Source organism: Homo sapiens, chromosome 5, assembly GCF_000001405.40.
Source record: "Homo sapiens chromosome 5, GRCh38.p14 Primary Assembly".
NCBI lineage: Eukaryota > Metazoa > Chordata > Mammalia > Primates > Hominidae > Homo > Homo sapiens.
In genome coordinates, this window is record NC_000005.10 from 115,301,940 (window position 1) to 115,322,240 (window position 20,301).

Consider the following 20,301-nt stretch of genomic DNA (forward strand, 5'->3'; position numbering starts at 1 on the left):
CCAGTTATTTCGACATTATTCTTTAAAAGCATATGTTTAGTGGTAATTTTTGGTGCCACTTAACTTTTCGTATATAATTGTCCTATTTCTCCTGAATTTTTCTATTCTCTTCTATCATTGTATCGGTCTACTTATGTATTAATGAATAGATGCTTTTTAAATTATAAGGACTTTATGAAATGTTTTAATAGCTTATTGGACTAGTTTCTCTCATTCTTCTTTTCCAGAGTTTTCTTAGCTTTCCCTGCTTGCTCATTTTCCACAGAAACTTTGAATCAATAGTCTACTTTGGGGAAAAAAGCTTGGCATTTTCATTAGAATCACATTAAATTTATTAACTTGGAAAGAATTAATATGTGTATGAGGTGCCGTTGTCCTATCCACGAACAAAGCATATTTACATTTGTTTACATTTGTTCTAGTCCACTTTTGCATCTTTGAAAATTAAAGATTTTAAGTTTATTCTTGAGTTTAACAATATTTACTGCAACTGTAAGCTGGATTTCCTCTTCCTTTATATCTTCTAGCTTATTTTTCTTTGAATATATAAAGACAATCGCTTTTCTTTATTGCTACTTGGGTCATTTTTCTTAATTTTGATATTATTTTTAGAATGATTATCTTAGGGTTTCCATTTATAGTATATACTCTCTGAAAATAGATATCATGCTATCTCTTTCTATCCAATTCTCAGACTTACATTCTAGACAGGAAGAAGGAAAAGGGCTTTCATAGTTTGGGTTCCCATGAAATTAGATCATGAGACAAGGACTTGGGTACAGGAGATAGGTTGTTTGGGAGGTGATCTCAAGAAGCCAAGTGACAGCGTCGAGAAAGTGAAATAGGAAAGGGAGAAAAGCCAACAGAGGGTGTTTTAGTGGTTAGTGCTGTGGGCAACTGGGCCTCACTCCAGCTGGGGACCTCTGAGGAATCTTATAGGACTGTCCTCAGAGTTTCCCTACTAAGGGGTGGGAAAGCTGAGTTATCTATCTACCAAATCCCAAACCTCACTCGTTGAGCGTTGCTGTGGGGACATTAAACACCAGCTTTTATAGGCTGCCCATACAATGGCTAAACAAGCTTCTAGAGAAAGCTGTTAGGTCAAGAAGCGGAACAGCATGGACACAGGTGGAGGCCATCAGTGTAGATGGGTGAACTCAGAGGCAGGACATCTACAATGTGTTGCTACAAAGGCAAAGAGCAAAAGGAGGATGACAGCAGACCTGCCACATTTAAAAAAGCTTTCCTATGAGTCCTCCCTACCCAATGCCCCCCTTTTAGGTATCATTGACTATAACTGAATCACACAGCCACCCCTAGCTACAAAGCATCCTGAAAATATACTTTATTGGGGTTATTATGAGGATGAGTGGGTTAGTTGCTAGCATTGCCTGCCATACCAACCTGTCTTTTTAATTGTTCTTGTTTCTTGGTTCATAAGGTTCATAAAAATAGGCTTGGGTGCAAGCCTATTTTTCCTCTAAGTCTACATATTATTAAAATACTATTTGAAAATATTTTATAGTCAGTTTTACTGCACATTATTATATTCCCTCCCAATCTTCACTTAATTTTTTGAATTCTTAATCTGTCTTAGTCTTCTGATACTTATGTTTCTATTTTTTCTTCTTGTATCTCCTGTAGTCCTTCTAATGAATGTTGATGCTGCGTTATTTAGGGTATAGAATATATAACTTAGATTTTCATTGTGGATTACACCTGTTATTATTGTAAAGTATACTTCCTGTTTAATTATTTTTGCCCTGAATTCAATCTTATATTTAAAATCACTGTCTGGTGATTCCTTTTTGTTCACATTTATTCTGGTACGCCTTTGCCCAGCCTTGTAGTTTCAACATTTTAGAATCACTTTGTTTAGGCCTGGCTCTCATCTGCACCATATAACTCAGTGTTGTTTCACGACCAATATGTGAGTCAAGTCACAGCCTTCTATTTTTTCTATTCCATTTCATTGTCAGTTTTTTGGAAAAAAAAAATACTCTACATTTACTGTCACCAGTTCCTGACTTTTCATTAGCTTCTCAAACCTTCCTTGATCCTGAAGTACTCAGTAGCAGTGTGTTGAATGCAGAAAGGGGGTAGGTCAAGGAGAGTGGAAGAAGAACCTCTGCCTGTCTTCTCCACTGCTGGTTACTGATTCTGGGTCAGGAATAAGGAAAAGCTTTAAGTTGGACATGATATGATGGTTGTGATTTAGGGAACGCTGACGTTTCAATACCTGAAAATGAGTAGTACTCAAGGTGATCAGAAAATATATGGGCTCCACCTAAGATATTATCTGAGAGAGGGAAGAGATATCTAACAGATTAAGTTTAAAAAGCAATCAGTAAGAGGAAAAAAGAGGCTATTTTCCAATTATAACCAAACAAGTTCAACCCAATTAATGAACTTGTTGCCCAGTGTTGCAACTAGTGATTTGATTTTCAAATCAAAGTGATCCTTACATAAGGATCACTATTGCAAACTGAACAGATGGTGAGACAGTTTTGATTCATTCTAAGGTCACAGAATAATTTGCTGAAAATGGGTGGAATTGTTCCAGAGAGTTACACAAAATCAAATGTCTTCATATGCCTGGGGACTGGATTTTTAAATAAGACTTAATTATAACAAAATATTTGTATTAATCTTTCAAATACACCAACAAATGGATGATTTTACAGTGCCCTCTAGAATTCACCAGTATAAATGGACAAGGCAGGAATAAATTGTTTTTCACTGACTAGTGAAATCACAATGCAAGCTAAGCAATATTACATATAGGGTGATAGCTCCCGCCACAATTCTCTCTCTCAGGTAAAAACAATTGAATGTCTTCTATCAACTTTTCACTATTTCCATATAAAATATTCTATTGTTTAAACAATATTTCTGGATATGAAAAAGAGACAGTTATTTAAATAATTCCCAGTCATTTAGCTTCTATTTTACAATTCCTTGGTAATGTTAGAGTTCCCTAACCAGACACTCTCTAACAGACTATAGTTCCCCAAAGATGGGCCTTAAAAGATGGATTCTTTAACAACTGTAACAGCTGCAGCAACAACCGTGAATCTTCAAGTGTAGCTGTTAAGATAAGATAGTTTGAGGGCAGGTATAATAAAAGGAAAAAGTTTAAATATTTATTTAAAAAATAATAATTCCTACTTTTGATTGCCTGTTATGTGTCAAACATTCTTATTAACACTGATAATCTCCTTTTGGTGTAAATAAATTAACTATGAGAGCGTAGTTAATACATTTTTTTAAGACAATATAGCTAAAATATAGCAGAACCAATCATCAACCATGAACCTGCCTTTATCATTAATACTTATTTTCCTAAACCACCAAACCCTCAAAGTCTATTTTTCTTCTTTTGAAAAATAAGTATTTCTTGGAGGCCAGTAGAAAACAAAACAATCAATTGTGTTTGAATGGATGTTGATTATTCTGTTGCTGATAGTATCCGGTTTACGCCCCTCAGACCATCCTCAGAGAAATAAAAAAATCTTCAATGTGGATGACAGTTTTATGACTACACCGCTTAGTCCCAATACAGTATTTTTCTTTGAGAATTCAAACCTATATGACTGACCACAAACCTACCATTTAAAAATTATTCCAGTTATTATATTATAGTCATTTATTTTACAGTTAGAAAATCAAATGCGTACAGTAGATCATCTTTCTACATATTTCCTTGGATTACAGGAAAATTCTCAGAAACTTCTAGCTCATAGGTACAAAATAAGTTTTAAATTATTTACCCTTGCTTGAGAATTTTAAATAAAAACCAGGTCCCTATATATAAATATAGAAGGTAAGAAATGTACTTCAAGAATATAGAAGATAAGAAATGTACTTCAAGAAATGATAAAACATCAGTGGATGGGTGGGACTTAGGTAATGTTGAGAATTTTTCACAATTATCATGCACTAATTTTAACAGCTTTACTGACTACCTCTAATTGCTTTTTATGTGAGAAAAGCAATTAACTGTTTTTTCAACCACTGCTTTTGGATTTTTGTTATACGTAGTCTGAGATATAATAATCCCAACTGATACTGTTAGTTTAACATTAACTGGGATCTATAAAATATAAGAGAAAGGAAATGTCTAGTGATGGGTGTAATCTGGAGCACAGAAACATTTTATAGCTTGTTCATGTTGGAAGGAAAATCAACTAACATTAGGCTGTTACTAGGCATTAAGACTGCAGATACCAAACCAGTTTGCCTACTACAGAGAAATACCAGGAAGTGGATGTCCCACCCTGATTTGGGCATGGAAGCAGGCCATGTTGAGAGACTGCTTAGGGTATTACAGGTCAGTCTGAGGAAAGTGCCTGGTGGAAACCTTGGTGGAATCAGAAGAGAAAGCAAAAAAGTGCATGTAGTTGGGGAGGTTTGTTTTTGTATACATATGCAAATAAATATGCAAATGTGCATATAAATATGCAAGCCTGTGCTTGACCTGGCTGCCAGTCAGTGTAAATGAATGAGAGGTAATAACTTCTTGATTTTTTTTTTCTCTTCCTATCAATATTTCTGCAAGGTTTGGTTGTTAATATTGGACGCAGGAGTATTCACTCCCTTGGCAGAGGTTGGAGCTATAGCTGTTAGACACCTGTCACAGAATTGCTGATCTTCTTAAAGGCTGCTGTGGGGAGACTACCTGAAGAAGGGTATAAAGAGTGGGGTTTCAATATAGAGTAGACTAAATGATATGTTTTATAAGGTAGGTCTAATTGACACATATTGACTCTATGCACTGAAAACAAGGATTATACCTTCTTTTCTAACAGTTTCACAAAAATTTAGGCCCCAAATCCTCAGTAAATGCCAAAAAGCAGAAATAATGTGGATATATTTCATTGATCACAAAGCAAATCAACTGAGAAGACAAAAAGACTCTATTATCTGGAATTTTAAAACTCTCTTAAAACTCGAGTCAAAGATGATATCAAAACTAAAATTGCAGCTTAATTAGAAAATATTGATAACACTACATACTAATATCCACGGAATACAATTAAAGCAACCCTCAGAAGAAACAGTGGTTTTCAATAATTGTATTAATAACCACAAAAGAATAAGAGTAAATGAATTAACTACCCAGCTAAAAAATATAGAGAAAAAAACAGCTACCAAAAAGGAGATAAGGAAAAATGAATTATAAAAGAAAATAATAAAATCAAACTAAGAAAAATGATAATCCCAATGAATAAATTTAACAAGACAGATAAACTACTAGCTAACTTGGCCAAGAATAAAATTAAGAAAGCACAAAAATACATAATAAAAAGATACAAAGGAAAATAAAATAATCATAGGAGCCTATTTCCCTCAACTGCCTGCAAATAAATTTGAACATTTAGGTGAAATTAATCCTTTTTCTAAAAAAACACAATTTACTGAAATTGGTGAATTAAAAATATAAACATTAAATATTAAATGTCCAAGAAAAATAAAAAGAAAACAGTTGTCAAGGAGGTAGGCTCCCAAAGAGCATCAGGCTCAGAGGGCTTCAAAGGCTAATCTTACAAAATCTTTATGGAAGAAATAAATAGGCTGTAATGCTATTTTTTTGTTTTTCAGACAGGGTCTTGCTCTGTCACCCAGGCTAATGTGCAATGGCATGATCACAACTCACTGCAGCCTTGAACTCCTAGGCTCAAGCCATCCTCCCGCCTCAGGTAGCTAGGATTATAGACACTGCACCACCATGTCCAGCTATCTCTTAATTTTTTTTTTTTTTTGTAAAGATGGGGTCTCCTTATGTTGTTCAGCTGGTCTCAAACTCCTGGCCTCAAGCAATCCACCTGCCTCAGCCTCCTAAAGTCCTGGGATTATAGGCGTGAGCCACCATGACTGGCATCTAATGCTTTTTAAATTGTTCCAGAGCAGAGGCAAAAGAGGAAAGCTTCCAAATTCTATTAATGAAAGTAGCATACGCTTGTTACCAGAAACTGACAGCACAAAAATCACTTATGAATACTGATTTTAAAATGTTCACCAAAGTTTTAGCAAACAGAATCCAGCAGCACCTTAAAATAATTAAGGGAAAAAGAATTTTTTCCCTATGGTCTCAAGAATGATTTAACATTATTCACTATTTTAATAAGTGGTTGGGTATAGTAACATGGTTCATTCACTGTCTACCCCAATCTCTCTTTTGTATGACATCCTATACCATAAAGGCTGGAAAGTTCAGAATCTTCATTTCCTAGGCTCCCTTGCAGCCAGGGTCTTCAATGTGAATTACGTTTGACAATCAGACAGATGCATTTGTGTGAGACTTGTTTTCAGAATACAGTTGGTGGCACCTGAGGCAGCCATTTTGCTGGGGTAGCTTGTAGCAGACACAGTGAGACTCTGGAGCTGGTAGTCCTTTTATCGGTTTTCTGATCCAGAGGTGAAAGATAGGAAGGTGTGTTCCTGGAGCTAAGAATTGTGGTGGCAGGCTGTCATTCCCAGATCACCTTAAGATGACATGCTCACAAACTGTGGGATGGGAGCATGACTTCCTGACTGTGACAGAGGGGGCAGATCCCTGGGTGGGCCAGTTTTGCAGTATGGTTCCGGGAGCCACTACTAGACAGCTTGCTCCTCCAGCTTTCTACTGATTTGTATGCAGCCAATTCCCTGTATAAAACCCTCTTCTGTTTTCTGCAACTGAAATTTGTCTGATAAAAGTGATTAAAAAAGAAAAAAGTTATGCATGATTTTCTCCAAATATACTGAAAAGGCATTCAATAGATCTCAACATCCATACTTGATTTTTAAAAAAAATCACAATAAAGGGGAAAGATGGGTATTTCCCAAAAGCCAGCAGTCTGCTCAATGAGGAAACACTAATGCTCAATGAGCATTGCTGTTAAAATGAGCAGCAAGACAATTGTATCTACAGTCATCACTATTATTTGGTGTAGTTCTGGAGGTTTAACCAATGCAATTAGACAAGACAAAGACATGAGTTATAAACATTGGAAGAGTGGTACAATATCACTATTTACAGATCACTGTATGCCTGGAAATCCCAAGAAACTCAATTATACATGTGTTGTGAACAATGTGAGAACTTGTGGAATGGATGGGTACAAAATTAGTGTGCAGAAAGGAATCACCTTCATCTATACAAACAACAAGCAGTTAGAAAACATAATAGAAATAAAGACCCAATTTGACATAGTGAAAAAAAAAAAAAACTGAATGTAAGCTCCATTCTGGAAAGGACTTTGCCTGCCTGCTCACTGTTATGGTTTTTGAATATGTGAAAGAATACAATGAAAACATAAATATTTTAAGTAGACAAGCTGGTCTATAGCTTATAATAAAAAGTAAAGAAAAAATCCAGAAATTTTCAGAAAAAATAAACCAATAACAGTGAGGGGCATGCTCTAATAAACACTTAATGGAATACACTCGCTTTCCCCAAGTAGAAACATTTGACAATTGAGTAAATGATAAAAATAGCATTTTAAATAGTAATTCTTTCAAAGAGAACTCATGCAAGGTTAACTTCATACCCATGCATGTCTGAAAATGCCTTTATTTTTACATCTGTTGGAGAGTTTGGCTCAGCAGAGAACTCTAGACAGAGTAAAAATTCTCTTCAGAATATTTAAGATATTGTTCTCTTGTTTTTCCTATTTACTATTGTCACTGAGAAGTCAGATATTAATCTGATTCTTGTCCCATCTGTAGCTAATCTGTTTACTCACTTTGAAAACTCCTAAAAAAACAAAATTAAATCAGGCCATTTAGCTACTTATTGCCAGAGGTTTAAGCAGGACCCAAAGCCTACCAAATCTACTAGGGCACTGAAGTGTTCTTCCCATCAAATCTCTATCGCAATTTCTACTTAATGAGAATAATAGGATGCCAAAAATATAAGCAAAATTAATCATCAATCAGTAAGGCTCAACTTCTTTAATGACTTCCTACCAGTGGAATTTGAGAACCTCACCTTTCTTAAACTATATAAAATTGCATTTCAGTTTTTATCCACCAGATGTCACCTGAGCAACAGTAGAAAACATGCAGTTCATATTTGATTCTTTCCAAAAGAAAAAAATATTTTCATCTTTTAGGCATGAAAATTAGAATGTTCTTGTTATAATATATCAGTAATAGAAGTAAGAGCAAACCAGTTGAAATCCTGGCAGATAAATAAAAACACTTACTTTCATATTAAGACTCACAAATACAGTCAACTGACATTTAGCTTCTTAAATGGATTGTTCCCAAAATTTTATACTAAATCTAATAATTATTTTTAGCAAAAATGGTTAGAATAGTTTTTAATGCTACCAATTTCTATGTGATACAAATAGTTTTTTAAAAAAACACCTCAATTACTTATACCAGAATATAAATCAAAACAATAAATACTAGCAACTTTGAAGTTCATGAACTAATTTTTACCTGCAATCTCATTCAACCTTCATTAGTTATTCCCTAATGTATTTGAACAGACTTCTTAAATGACCTGTAAAACCCTGCATGATATGGTCCCTGACCACTTTTCCTGCTTCTCTCTCCATCTTTCCTGGTTCTCTAGCTACCCTGGGCTTTTTTAGCTCTCATAACATGCCAGCATCCCTTAGCCTGTATTAGTGGTTATGTCTGGAGGGAGCCTCTAACCCTCGCTTCCTGACACAATTCGAATGTCAGTTCCTAGGGAAGCCTTTTTTGGCCACCTCCACCCACATCTAGATTTGGATCCCATCTAATCTGATTTTTCCCCTTTATAACAGTTGTCATAATTCATTATCTATTTGTGTGATTATTTGATTAATATTCTTTCCCTTCTAGAGGACAACCTCCATGGGGCACCCCTGTGTCTCTGCTATTCAGCACGGAGTCCATAGGAGCACTTAATAAATATTTGTTGAAGGAAAGACTTCCTGAATATAGGTTATAATGTTTATACTCCTCCCCCATTCAAATGCAAACTCCACAAGAGATGATGTTTGTTCCATTTACTATTGCATATCTATGCCTGAGGCAGCCCATCTTAGACATCAATTTGAATTTTTTAGATGGATCCATGAAAAAATAAATGAGTATGTATTTTCTAAACTAAAAATTAGGACATATTTGGACAAGTATTTGGAATGAGGGTCAGCTTCAGATATATGGGACAGATAACTTCTAAATATGAGAACAGTTAAATGTCATTTCTTAATAACTATTTTTGTTCCATTGGTGAAGTGAGATGGAGATGACAAAAACACTGGTCATCTAAGGCAAGTCCTAGGTATATACATTTCGCTTATTTTTTTTTCAATAGTAATTTTTTTTTATTATCCTCACTCACTCAGGAATCAACCAAAAACATGACATTGAGCCATCTTTCCTAGGGAAATTACAGGATTTTTCAATTGGGATGGCTCAATGTAGTTATTGACTGTATCTCACAGGTGGGTGGAAGGATGAAGCACTCTTCAATCCAGGGAAGGGCTTGGATAGATTTTTTATTTTATTTTATTTTATTTTATTTATTCATTTATTTATTTATTTATTTATTTATTTATTTATTTATTTATTTATTTTGAGATGGAGTCTTGCTCTGTTGCCCAGGCTGGCGTGCAGTGATGTGATCTTGGCTCATTGCAAGCTCCACCATTCTCCTGCCTCAGCCTCCCCAGTAGCTGGGACCACAGGTGCCTGCCACCAAACCCGGCTAATTTTTTGTATTTTTTTTAGTACAGACGGGGTTTCACCATCTTAGTCAGGATGGCCTCGATCTCCTGTCTTCGTGATCCACCCGCCTTGGCCTCCCAAAGTGCTGGGACTACAGGCGTGAGCCACCGCGCCCGGCTGGATAGATTTTTTTTTTTAGCCACTGCCACAACATGGCACAGGGACCCTGACTGGTGTAATTCAGTTATTCCATAAACATTATTTATTCATTCAAACAGCTTTTAATTAGACGATCATTATGTGCCAGTTACAGTGCTTGCTGCTAGGGCTACAAAGCCAAATGAGGCATGGTCGTTGCTCTCAAGCAGCTATCTTGTCAGGGAAGACAGGTCAATAGACCAATAGCTGAAGTCCAGTTTGGCTCAAATAAATACAATGCACAGGGTATTATAGGAATATGCAGTTTGGTATAAATTAGAGTAGTGGGAAGGGGTCTTCAGCAGGGCTTCCTTAAAGAAGTGACACCCAAGCTTAGTTTTCAAGGACCAGACGCAGTTAGCTGTATTAATTCCACTATTAGCAGTAGTAATAGTGGAAAGGAAGACAGCTTCTTAGGAGAGAAAACCTGAGATAGAGAGCACGGAGAAATGATATACAATAGTTTGTTTAGGGAACTAGAAGAAATTCAGCATGGCTATAACAAAGCATGATGCCATTTGATGTAGCAGCGAGGAGACTCTCACTGAATTTGAGAGAGCTGACCGGTTCATTCATCTACTCCTCACTCTCACAACCTGAGCCCCAATGAATAATTCTTTCTTTGCACACAAGACAAAACTAGAGATAGTAGAAAAGAAATTTTTAGTATGAACGACAGTTATGGCAAATGCAGTCTTACAAATTGGCATGAGCTTCTATTACTAGTTTTCTAGGAAAAATAATTGAAGCTTGTCATAGAGACCAGGCAAAGGCTCTAATAAGAATACTTTGCATCTGCAGTGAGATGCTTTTGCACCCGTAGAAACCAGAGCCTAAAGGAAAGGCTTATGTGCTGCTATCTGTTTTGGGAGTTACATTCCCAGGGAAACAGAAGTGAGGGAAAAGGGGCAAACATGAGGGAAGTTTGAGTCAGCCTCTTGTTGGCAACAAGTATAGTTCATGTTGCATCTCATGGGATGTGCTCAGTAAGGCCAAATGAACTTTACATATCAAGGCAGCCCACCAGGGGAGAGGAAGGGAAAACAATTTATCTGCCAGTCCATTTCATTCTACATATGCCCCTGGTCAAGAGTCTGCCCATGGGCATTAACTCCCCGGGAAGATGTGACCCGGGCTTTCCAGGTCCCCAGGGGAAGCTAAGGTTATACTACTTGAAGTGGGCATTGCCACTCATTACCTTTGAGCCCATTTTATATTTGGAGAGTTTCCTGATTTCTGAGAGTTCGTTCTTCAAAGATGAAGTCAGAAACTCTCCTGACATCTTCAATTTGAGGATCTAGTGTCCAGGTTCTGCCAATTAGACCCATCTTATTGAGACCTCCATGCTGGAGTGAGTGAGGCATCTCACAGAATCCATCATGGCAGATAGAGGGAGAGGCTCTACCTTCCAGAGATGTTGCCAGAGGTTCTAGGCAGAGTTTCCAGTGTCCGCCACTCGGGGCAAAAGCTGGGTTGTCTGTGCCCAGGCACAGCAGCAATAGAGTGCCCCCTGGAACCATCTGTGTAACTTTCATATGGCTCCCAGCCTCAGAGCAGCCATGGTTTATTCTGTAGCCCTCACTGAGATTCCAAGAACTGCTTAAAATCTTTAATACAATTCCTTTTGCTGCCTAAACTACCTAGGGGGAGTTTCATTGTCTGAAATCAAGAACTCTGAAAGATTCATGTAGCCTAAAAATAAATTTTGGGTTGCCTTCAAGTTATGACATGCTTCTAATCCTAAATCTGCTTGCTTATGTGAAACAGATTCCATTAATTTTTATACTATATCCTAGAACCATAGAATTCTTGAATTTAGATGTAGAAGTGTCCTTTTAGAGCCCATTTTATTTTATCATTCACCTTCGGCTTTGAGCGAATTTTCATATCACAACCATTTGAGGGAACCAAGTTTCTCACAAAACCAGAAAAAAGGTAATTTATGTGGGCTGAAATGTCTTTGTGCCAGTCATGAGTAGGGCTGAGAGGACACCCTTGGGTAATGTTATTTACGTGAGAGACAGGTGAAGGGCCTGCAGGATGTAACCTAATTTAGTCAGACATTTCTGGCACAAAAAAACCAGTGACCTATAAACCAGTACTTTCCTGCAATTTCTAGTGAAACCAGGTCACTATTTCCAGCCTTTACTTTGTTCCCTGGACTCTTAGCATTGAGCTATGTCATGAATTTCCTTTTGATAAGGGTAATTAGTAAATTTATGGGAAAAATTTAAGTAAAAGCTCACAAGAATCTTTGGAAAGTGTCACTCTATAAAGTGTTCAGTTATGTCCCAGTAAGTCATGGCTGTATTATACTAGGATCACAAATTCTTAGAATTGTTATGGTAGTTTTTGTTCTTTTTAGTACATTGAGAAGAATCTGGTGAAACTTTCCTTTGATTCAGTTTAATTTCCCCCTCAGGTAGAAGGCTATAATGACCCAATGGGCCACCAGTTTGATATTTGATTCTGAACAATTTATTCACCAAGAATGGCTGCCTGAATGAGTAAGTATAGATGTTAAATTGGACTTGGTATCAGAATCACCAAAGGATAGTATTGCCCCTCTCCTTCCCCAAGGTTTTCATATGCTACCCTTTAGATCAGGATGGGAAAGAAACAGGATCCTATATTGGGTTTAGCTGAGGCTGATCGAAGCATTTTAATGCAAAATGCATTAGCTGGCAAGATGGCACTAAGCAGAATATATATATATATATATATATATATAGAGAGAGAGAGAGAGAGAGAGAGAGAAATAATATGTAGAAATTATCTTAGTTATAATAGGGGAACACAAAACAATAATGGTTCAAAAGCCTGTCTAATAGTTTTCTAAGGATATGTTCCTTTAAAGCAAACCATTCTGTGATTACATTTTTGGGAATGTTCTACTCTCCCATCCCTCTCTGCCAATGGCCCCTGGAACAAGTTTAAGGCTACATGTCCTAGACCTACGAAGTACGTGGCACTAAACTGAGACTCACCTTTAAGAGGAGTGGCTGTTCATGAACAATGTGGATCCTTCAATGTGTTTGGGGCCAAAACGAGATTGAGGAGCATTAACTTAAAACAATTTGAGGATAGGCCTTATAATATTTGGCTTTCCTTTCCCTTTAATTTCAAATGATAACTGTGTCTACTTTCACTACACTTGAATCCTTAATTTGAAACTCTATTCTCAGTAGGGTGTGGAATTGACTACTGTACCTCTCTATGCTTCACCATAAATACACAAACACATTCACACACACATGCACACATTTATACAGCACATTCAAACATAAAAGAGTGTATGGTGATGAGTTAGTTGACCTCCCTGCCTTGGAATCCATTCCCCTCTCTAGAAGTAACTATTGTTACAGGTTTCTTTTTTTTCTTTTTTTTTTTTAATAATTCTAGAGATATTGTTTCCTACATAAGCAAATACATGTGTAGGCATTTATATATACATATATCTTCTTTTTACACAAATATTTACATAATACATACACTGTTTACACATGCTTTTTAAATTTAAATATATCTTAGAGATAATTCTATATCAGCACACGATTATTCTTTTTTGATGGCTGCAACATATTTGTGAGAGAAAACCTGACAATCTCTTAGCTTAACTGTAGTTATGTTACTTTTTCCTTAGTCTCACGTAATTGTCAACTCTAATTATGTCAACCCATAATTAGAGATTGTGGCAGCATTTGCAATTAGTCAAATAGCAATCACCTGTAGAAAAGCATTTTGTTGTCCATCTATCTGACTCTGACTTCCTTTTATTTGGTCCAGAACTTGGGTGGGAAGAGGGATTTTCTATAGAAAATGACTTTCTATAGGTGATTGGAAGGTACTTTGCTAAAAGTGAGATATTTTTTAGTTTTCCCTGTATTTTTAAAGCCTCTTTTTAAAAGAAAGACTTAAAACTCCATTTTTCCCAAATACCTTCCCTCCTCTTGGCACCAATTGTTACTTCATCTAAATATGTGTAGGATTAGTTTTACATTATCCCCAGGTCTTTTTAATAGGATTGTGTTTCCTGTTTTCACTCAGTTAGATGACCAGAGAGTATACAAGGGTCTAAAGGCAAGCCAGAGTTTTGGAAGGATAGAGGAAGAATCCAAGCTACATCTCTGTCCTAGCCCAAGAAGTTCTTTAGCTATATTGGCCTCAGAAAATCTGCCTTTGGAACTTTTGTTGGCATAATGTTTTGGTAAAACCAATCTGATATTCTTCTGGTCTATTTCTTTAGATTTAATAAGATTTTTCTAATGAGATCACAGGCATTGCAGTAATTGAAGGCTCTGTCAAAGTCTCATTCAAAGTCTGGGAAAGTGACAGTGAGAGGAGTCTGCTGTGTTACCCTTCCCTCACCCCACCACCAGCAATTAACAACCAACAATGGCTCTCTTTCCTCATACCAGCAGATTTGATGATAACAAAGAGAAGCTAGTAGTGATTCCACCTATTTCTGCTGCCAAAAAGCCTCGCAAGCCTATAACAACACCCTTTAGTACAAGGAAAAGGCCAGAAAATAAAAACTTTATAGTGAATAACTCTTCTTTGAAAGAACCAGCAATACCACTTTTAGGTGTTGCGGCGAGATGGTCAGCTATCCTGTAAACATTATGTTCCCCATTCCACGGGTAGGGTAGTCTTGGGAATGAGGCTGCCCAATCAACGTCCATATTTCTTAGCTGGATAACATTTAAGTGTACTACTGTTTCTCACCAATAGAAGGTAAGTGGAAGTAATGTGTGAAATTTCTGAGCCAGAGAGATTAAAAAGCTGGTGTATCTTCGCTTTTTCTTTCTTCGCCTTCTGGCTAGATGTTGACAAACAGGCTGATCTTGAACAGGGGCAGAACATCCTTCAGACTGGATCTTTGGATGGCCCTGTGAAATGGTTGTCTCTCCCTGTTCCCCACATCGACTTGGGCTTTACATTAAGTGAGAAATAAATTTTCATTATGTTAAGCCATTGACATTTCAGAGTTTATTTACCACATCAGCTAGTATTTGTTAACTCATCTAGATATCTACCACTGAAAAATTCTGATACAAGGAAACATACAATAAAATTAATTGTAGTGTTGCTCACTCTGAGGATAAAATGGGAAAGAACAACTGTGGGTTATTCATATGATTAAATACTATACAGTAGTTAAAATGACTAGATCTATGTATGTATCAACATGGAAAAATCTGAACAATAACATGGAGTGAAAAAGGTGGGTTTCAAAAGGATGTGTGCAGGATGAAGCCATTTTACAAAATTGTAAAACACATAAAACAATATAAGATTGTTTACAGACATATAACTATACAGTAAAATTACCAAAACATGTATAGGAAGGATACATTAAGCTTAGTGGGTAGCCCTAGGGGAAGAAGAAGAAAATGAGGTGTGGGATGGAAGAAAGCTTTAGCTATAATGTTAACTTTTATTCATTTTTAAAAGGAGAGTTCTGAGTATGGACAAATTTTAATGTTGGAATTTGAGGAGTCCCTCAAAATAGCACCCTTCTTCTCACCTAAGTTCTGGACCAAATAGAAGGCAGTCAAAGTCAGACAGGTGGTCAACAAAATGCCACATTTATTACTAGCTAAATAGATGATGCAAATGTGGCTCAGATCTGGAATTCAAAATATTGGACCCATAGAAATACACAGGAGTGCTCATCCAGTCACCAACAGGGCTAGCCCTCCCACACAGGGGCCTTTGAAATGTAGCTTGTCACATGGCAGAAAGCAATGAAGAACATATGTACCCTGTGGTCAAGCATGCTGTCAAAAGGAAGAAAACAGCAAGAGAAATGAGTAGTTATTGCTCCCAAACCTTAGAGTGCATTAAAATGCACCCCATCCCCACCCCAACAGTTAGCATCTCCTTAATCTTGGAGGTGGTTACATAGGCATCTGTTACATTATTTTTCTTTACTTTTTTGTTTGTTTGAAATATTTCCTAGTTAAAAATTTAAATTAGAAGACTCTTTAGTGTAAATGCCTCCCAAGTGTCCAGGAGCCCTCCTGTGATACAGAAATCATGCTTCAATGTCAATACTTCTTTTGCATTAAGGCTCATAGTGAAAAACAAAAGCACTAAGACCAAGTATCTTTGCTGGGCATTGTCAAAATGAGTTCTTCAAATGCTCTGGAGTTTGTCCAGTGGATCTAGGCACTTCACTTTAGGAAAATAGCCAAGTGGACCATAATACTGTCTAGATTCAGATTTATGTTTAAATGACATTTCTCAACTGAGAGACCCGAGTGAAATGGTTGAATGTTTATGGACTCTAAAGTCAGACCTAAATAAAAATCTAGGCTCTCCCACTGACCTACTAGCTATGTGAATCTTCACACATCACTTAACTCTGAGTTTCTGTCTGTTTTCTTACCTGCCTGGTCAGGTTGTTCGCAAGGTTTAAATGAAGTAATGGTTCCTGGCACTGGGCAGAGACTGTGCAGTTGACAGGTAGAGCCCAGAGTCTTCCTATGTATGTGTGTGTTCTTTAGAGATGGTCTCAGGGCATGCTCTCCATGCAAACAATACATGTCGCTCCGTGAACACTAATCTTTCTTATCCACCAAATAGGTAAAAGCTATTCTATAAACTCCATTTAGAAAATGCATTTTGTTACATGATTAGAACAAATGTCCAATATTTAATTTGTTTCAGTAAAATCTGGGTAGAATCCTCTTTCAGTTCAATAAAAATATAATCCTACTGGAAGACATACTTCTCATCTGCCCCGCATATCTCACTGGAATCTGTATCTTAATGAAATTCTGAATTCTTGCTAGAGTTAATGTTTCCTAGATCTGTCCAGATAGGTATAAAATAATCTACATGAAGAATATTAAAGATGGGTCAGGACTATTATTTCAGAGATCTTGCTTGACATTTAGAACCACCAGATTTAAATCTGGATTAAATTTATTTGCTTACTTTATAATTGTCTGTTTGCCTCCACTAGTACATAAGCTCTGTGCAACCTTGGAATTTCACTTAGTACATAATAGGTACTTAATAAGGCATTGTTGAATAAATGAATTAAAAGATTTTCACTATTCAACTATAAAAATAATGTCTGAGCTAGAAAATAAGGTTGGCATTCAGACTAAGTGTCTTTCATTTAAATGCAATAAGAGTTTTTCTCTAAATTCAATAAATTATTTTAACTTTCCCCCTTTTTCATCTCTAAAGTTAAATCTAGAACCTTTTACATGTATGAACTGCATACATTTACATTGTATGTACACGAGTCCATTTTTAATGATAATATCCATATGCTACTGCCTAATGCATGAGATATGTTTTGTCCTAGGAGTGGATCCTGAAAAATATGATGTCTGCTGAACAGCAGCCTTAGTTCATCTGTGTGTAGGTAACTTAAGGGGCTGTTTAGGTCTGTCATTCTATTGTGGAGTGTTTGTCTAAGTTTAGTAACAGTACAGATGAATGTCTGTTAGAGGTCTTTCCAAGGATAAATGACATCATTTCTTCCATGTGACAAGTCTATTTTTATTTTTTGTGAAAATATTGGAGAACTAGTTTAAGGTACAAGGCTATTTTCCCTACTAGGCTTTGTATGTTAATAGCTTCTCATGCATTTTTTAGAAACTACAAAGGGAACTATAAACAAAATGTTCAAAGAGTGTTTATAAGTGATTTTTGTTCTCTTCTGAAAGAGGGACTTGACTTTTTAACCATGATCCCAGAGACATTGAAGGGAAAAATTACCCCCAGGTATTTAAGTGAGCTCAGCACTTGGGAATTTCATTTTTTTTTTGCTGGCCTTAATGGCAGGTAGATGAAGATTGACAAGAAATAATGTAATTACTAGTTAAAATATACCTCCCATAGACTTTCCAAGTATGTTGCCTAAATGGTAGGAGATAGGACCCATGTAGGAGAATGCATTTCAAAAGCACATTCTGAATAGTTCTACTACTTGACACTTATTTTTTGCATTCTGACCGCATATTGCTCTTTGACCTAAATTAATTTTCCCTAAAAATTTCTTATTTTCTACTTCAGACATGTTTTATAGTTGTAGGGTAAAAATCCTGCTGGTTCATTCATTCATTCATTTAATGATGATTTATTAGCTACCTATTATATAAAAGAAGATATTCCAGGTTCTCATAGAGCTTATGTACTAATGGAGGGAGATGCACAAAGATTAAGGAGGCAAATGAAGAAACAAGATAATTTCAGCTAGTGATGAGGGCTATGAGTGAAATAAAATGGGAAGATGTGATGGAGAGTGTGAGTGGGTGGTCTTGAGAGAAGGTTGGTTGGGGAAGTGCCATTTGAGCCAAGACCAGCATGTGAGCAGGAGTCAGCCCTGTGAAGATATACGGACACACTCTTCCAGGCAGAGGGAAGAGACGAAAGCAGGTGCAAACATCCGAAGGCAGAGCATGCTTGGCATGTGCTAGGAATGAAAGAAGGCTTATGAGCTTGGCTCAAGGGAGTGAGGGGAGAAGAGTGGCAGATTAAGGTCAGAGAAGGAACTAGAGCAGGATCATGGAATTTGGACTTTATGCTAAAATAAGAAGCTGCTGGAAGATTTTAGTCAAGGGAGGTACCTAATCTGATTTGTGTTTTCAATCTGATTTGTGTTTTCAAAGATTACTCTGCATACTGTATGGAGAATAGATCCATTTTAGCCTTGTATTTTGCACTGACACCAATTAAACCAGTATTTCTACCTGGGTCAGTAAAATAATTATTATTTTTATTTTATTATGAATCTAGATTAGTTTATGATCTCTCCCATTATTCTTTTTTATCTTTACACTTGACTTGCAGAAATAGCAGGGCTTTTTTAGGTAATAATCTTTCCTATCCTCAGAGAACATGCCCAGAATGACCTAGAACAGGGGAAAAATCAGCCCATTGCTTCGTGCATTCCTAGCAAACATATTTGTTTGTCTGACCTGGAAAACCCATGCTACAACTGTGCCAAAAACCAAGACCTTTTGATAGGTCAGCTATACATGATTAATTAAAGTGACTCTGTAGTTTTCCTGGAAAGTAGAAGCCTTATTCTACCAAGCTACTGCCCTCATGATACAGGCCTAAAACATGTATGGATTTTCTAAGAGAGAGGCTTCAGAATTATGATGGAAGGATAAACTATTTGGAATATGACTGTATCAGGCTCTTAATGGATGGGAGAGGTTTGTTCTCCAAGACATCAGGGTGAACTTTTATAATAATAGTGAGAACAATAGTAAACACTTACTAAGCATTTAGGTTTCGCCAAGCCATCATTTAAATCAGGTGTCAGCAAACTTCTTCTGTAAAGGACCAGATAGTAAATATTTTCAGTGCTGTGAGCCATATGATCTCTGTCACAAGTACTCAACTCTGTTGTAATGAGAAAGCAGCCACAGATATTATGTAAGGGATGAATGTGCCTGTGCTCCAATAAAACTTTATTTCCCAAAACAGATGGTAGGATTTGTGGGATTTGGCCACAAATTTGGCCCACGGGACATAGTTTGATGACCTCTGATCTACATGACTGACATATATGAAATTATTTGATCCTCAAAATACCCTGATTGTTATTATTATTTTTAATTTACAGGTGAGGAACTTGTGGTTGAGAGAGGTCATGTAACTGGCCCCAGACAGTGTAGCTCAGACATTGTAGAGCTGAGGTTCACACTCACACAGTGTGGCTCCAGAAGCCAAGCACTGACTCACTGTGAATGTGGCTGGGCCAGGGCTAGCCCATACTTAGTCACCCATAGACTTAATTGACACATTTATGTTATCTGGTCTCTTTATCTGTAAGATGTCTACCTCATAGGATTGTTAGAGAATAAAATGTTGGGGAATGAAATGAACCGACAGCACAATTCTTGTATCAGCACCGTGCTTTGGAGGAGTTGTCAAGTCACTCCGCATTTGTGTGTCCTTTTGGTATAATATTTGAGGAAATACCTGAAGTCTCTGGGCTACACTGAGCACCTGTGACTGGGTATGTGTGTTGGCCTTGGCAGTTCCTAGAAGAATGGTAGTATTATCAGTCCGTGGTTTTTCTACTTATGTTTTTTCCTCTATATACTTCATGCAATTATTTTGAGGACCAAATAAAAGGGAAAGAAATACAGAGAATTGTGGAGAATTAAGAATTTCTGTGATAACAGAAATTCTGAAGCATGTTGTATGCATATAGTGAGAACATTTATGCTTCACTTTCTTTCTCTAAAAATATGGATAAGTATGTGTTATTTAAAAGCCATGCCAGGAACTCTTTGATTTTTAAAAGATTAATAACAACATTTGGAGTTAAAGTTTAATATTATTTTAGAGAGCATACTTTTTATGATAAAATCCACTTCATCTGTGTTAAGAAGCTAAGTCAAAGAGGAAGTCCTTTGGATTACTTTTTTGAATCTAAAGGTCCCTCAGTGCTCACTCTCTATACATCATTTGTAC

General features: G+C 36.6%; 1 long non-coding RNA gene across 3 annotated transcripts in view; it reads left to right on the forward strand.

The window, feature by feature from the left end:
* The window catches only part of LOC105379129 (uncharacterized), a 42,004-nt gene that overhangs the window by 5,012 nt on the left and 16,691 nt on the right, over positions 1 to 20,301 (forward strand). For all 3 annotated transcript variants that reach the window (XR_948683.3, XR_948684.3, XR_948685.1), the window contains exon 2: positions 12,272 to 12,356. This is a non-coding gene — a long non-coding RNA (uncharacterized LOC105379129). The remainder of the gene's footprint in view (positions 1 to 12,271; positions 12,357 to 20,301) is intronic.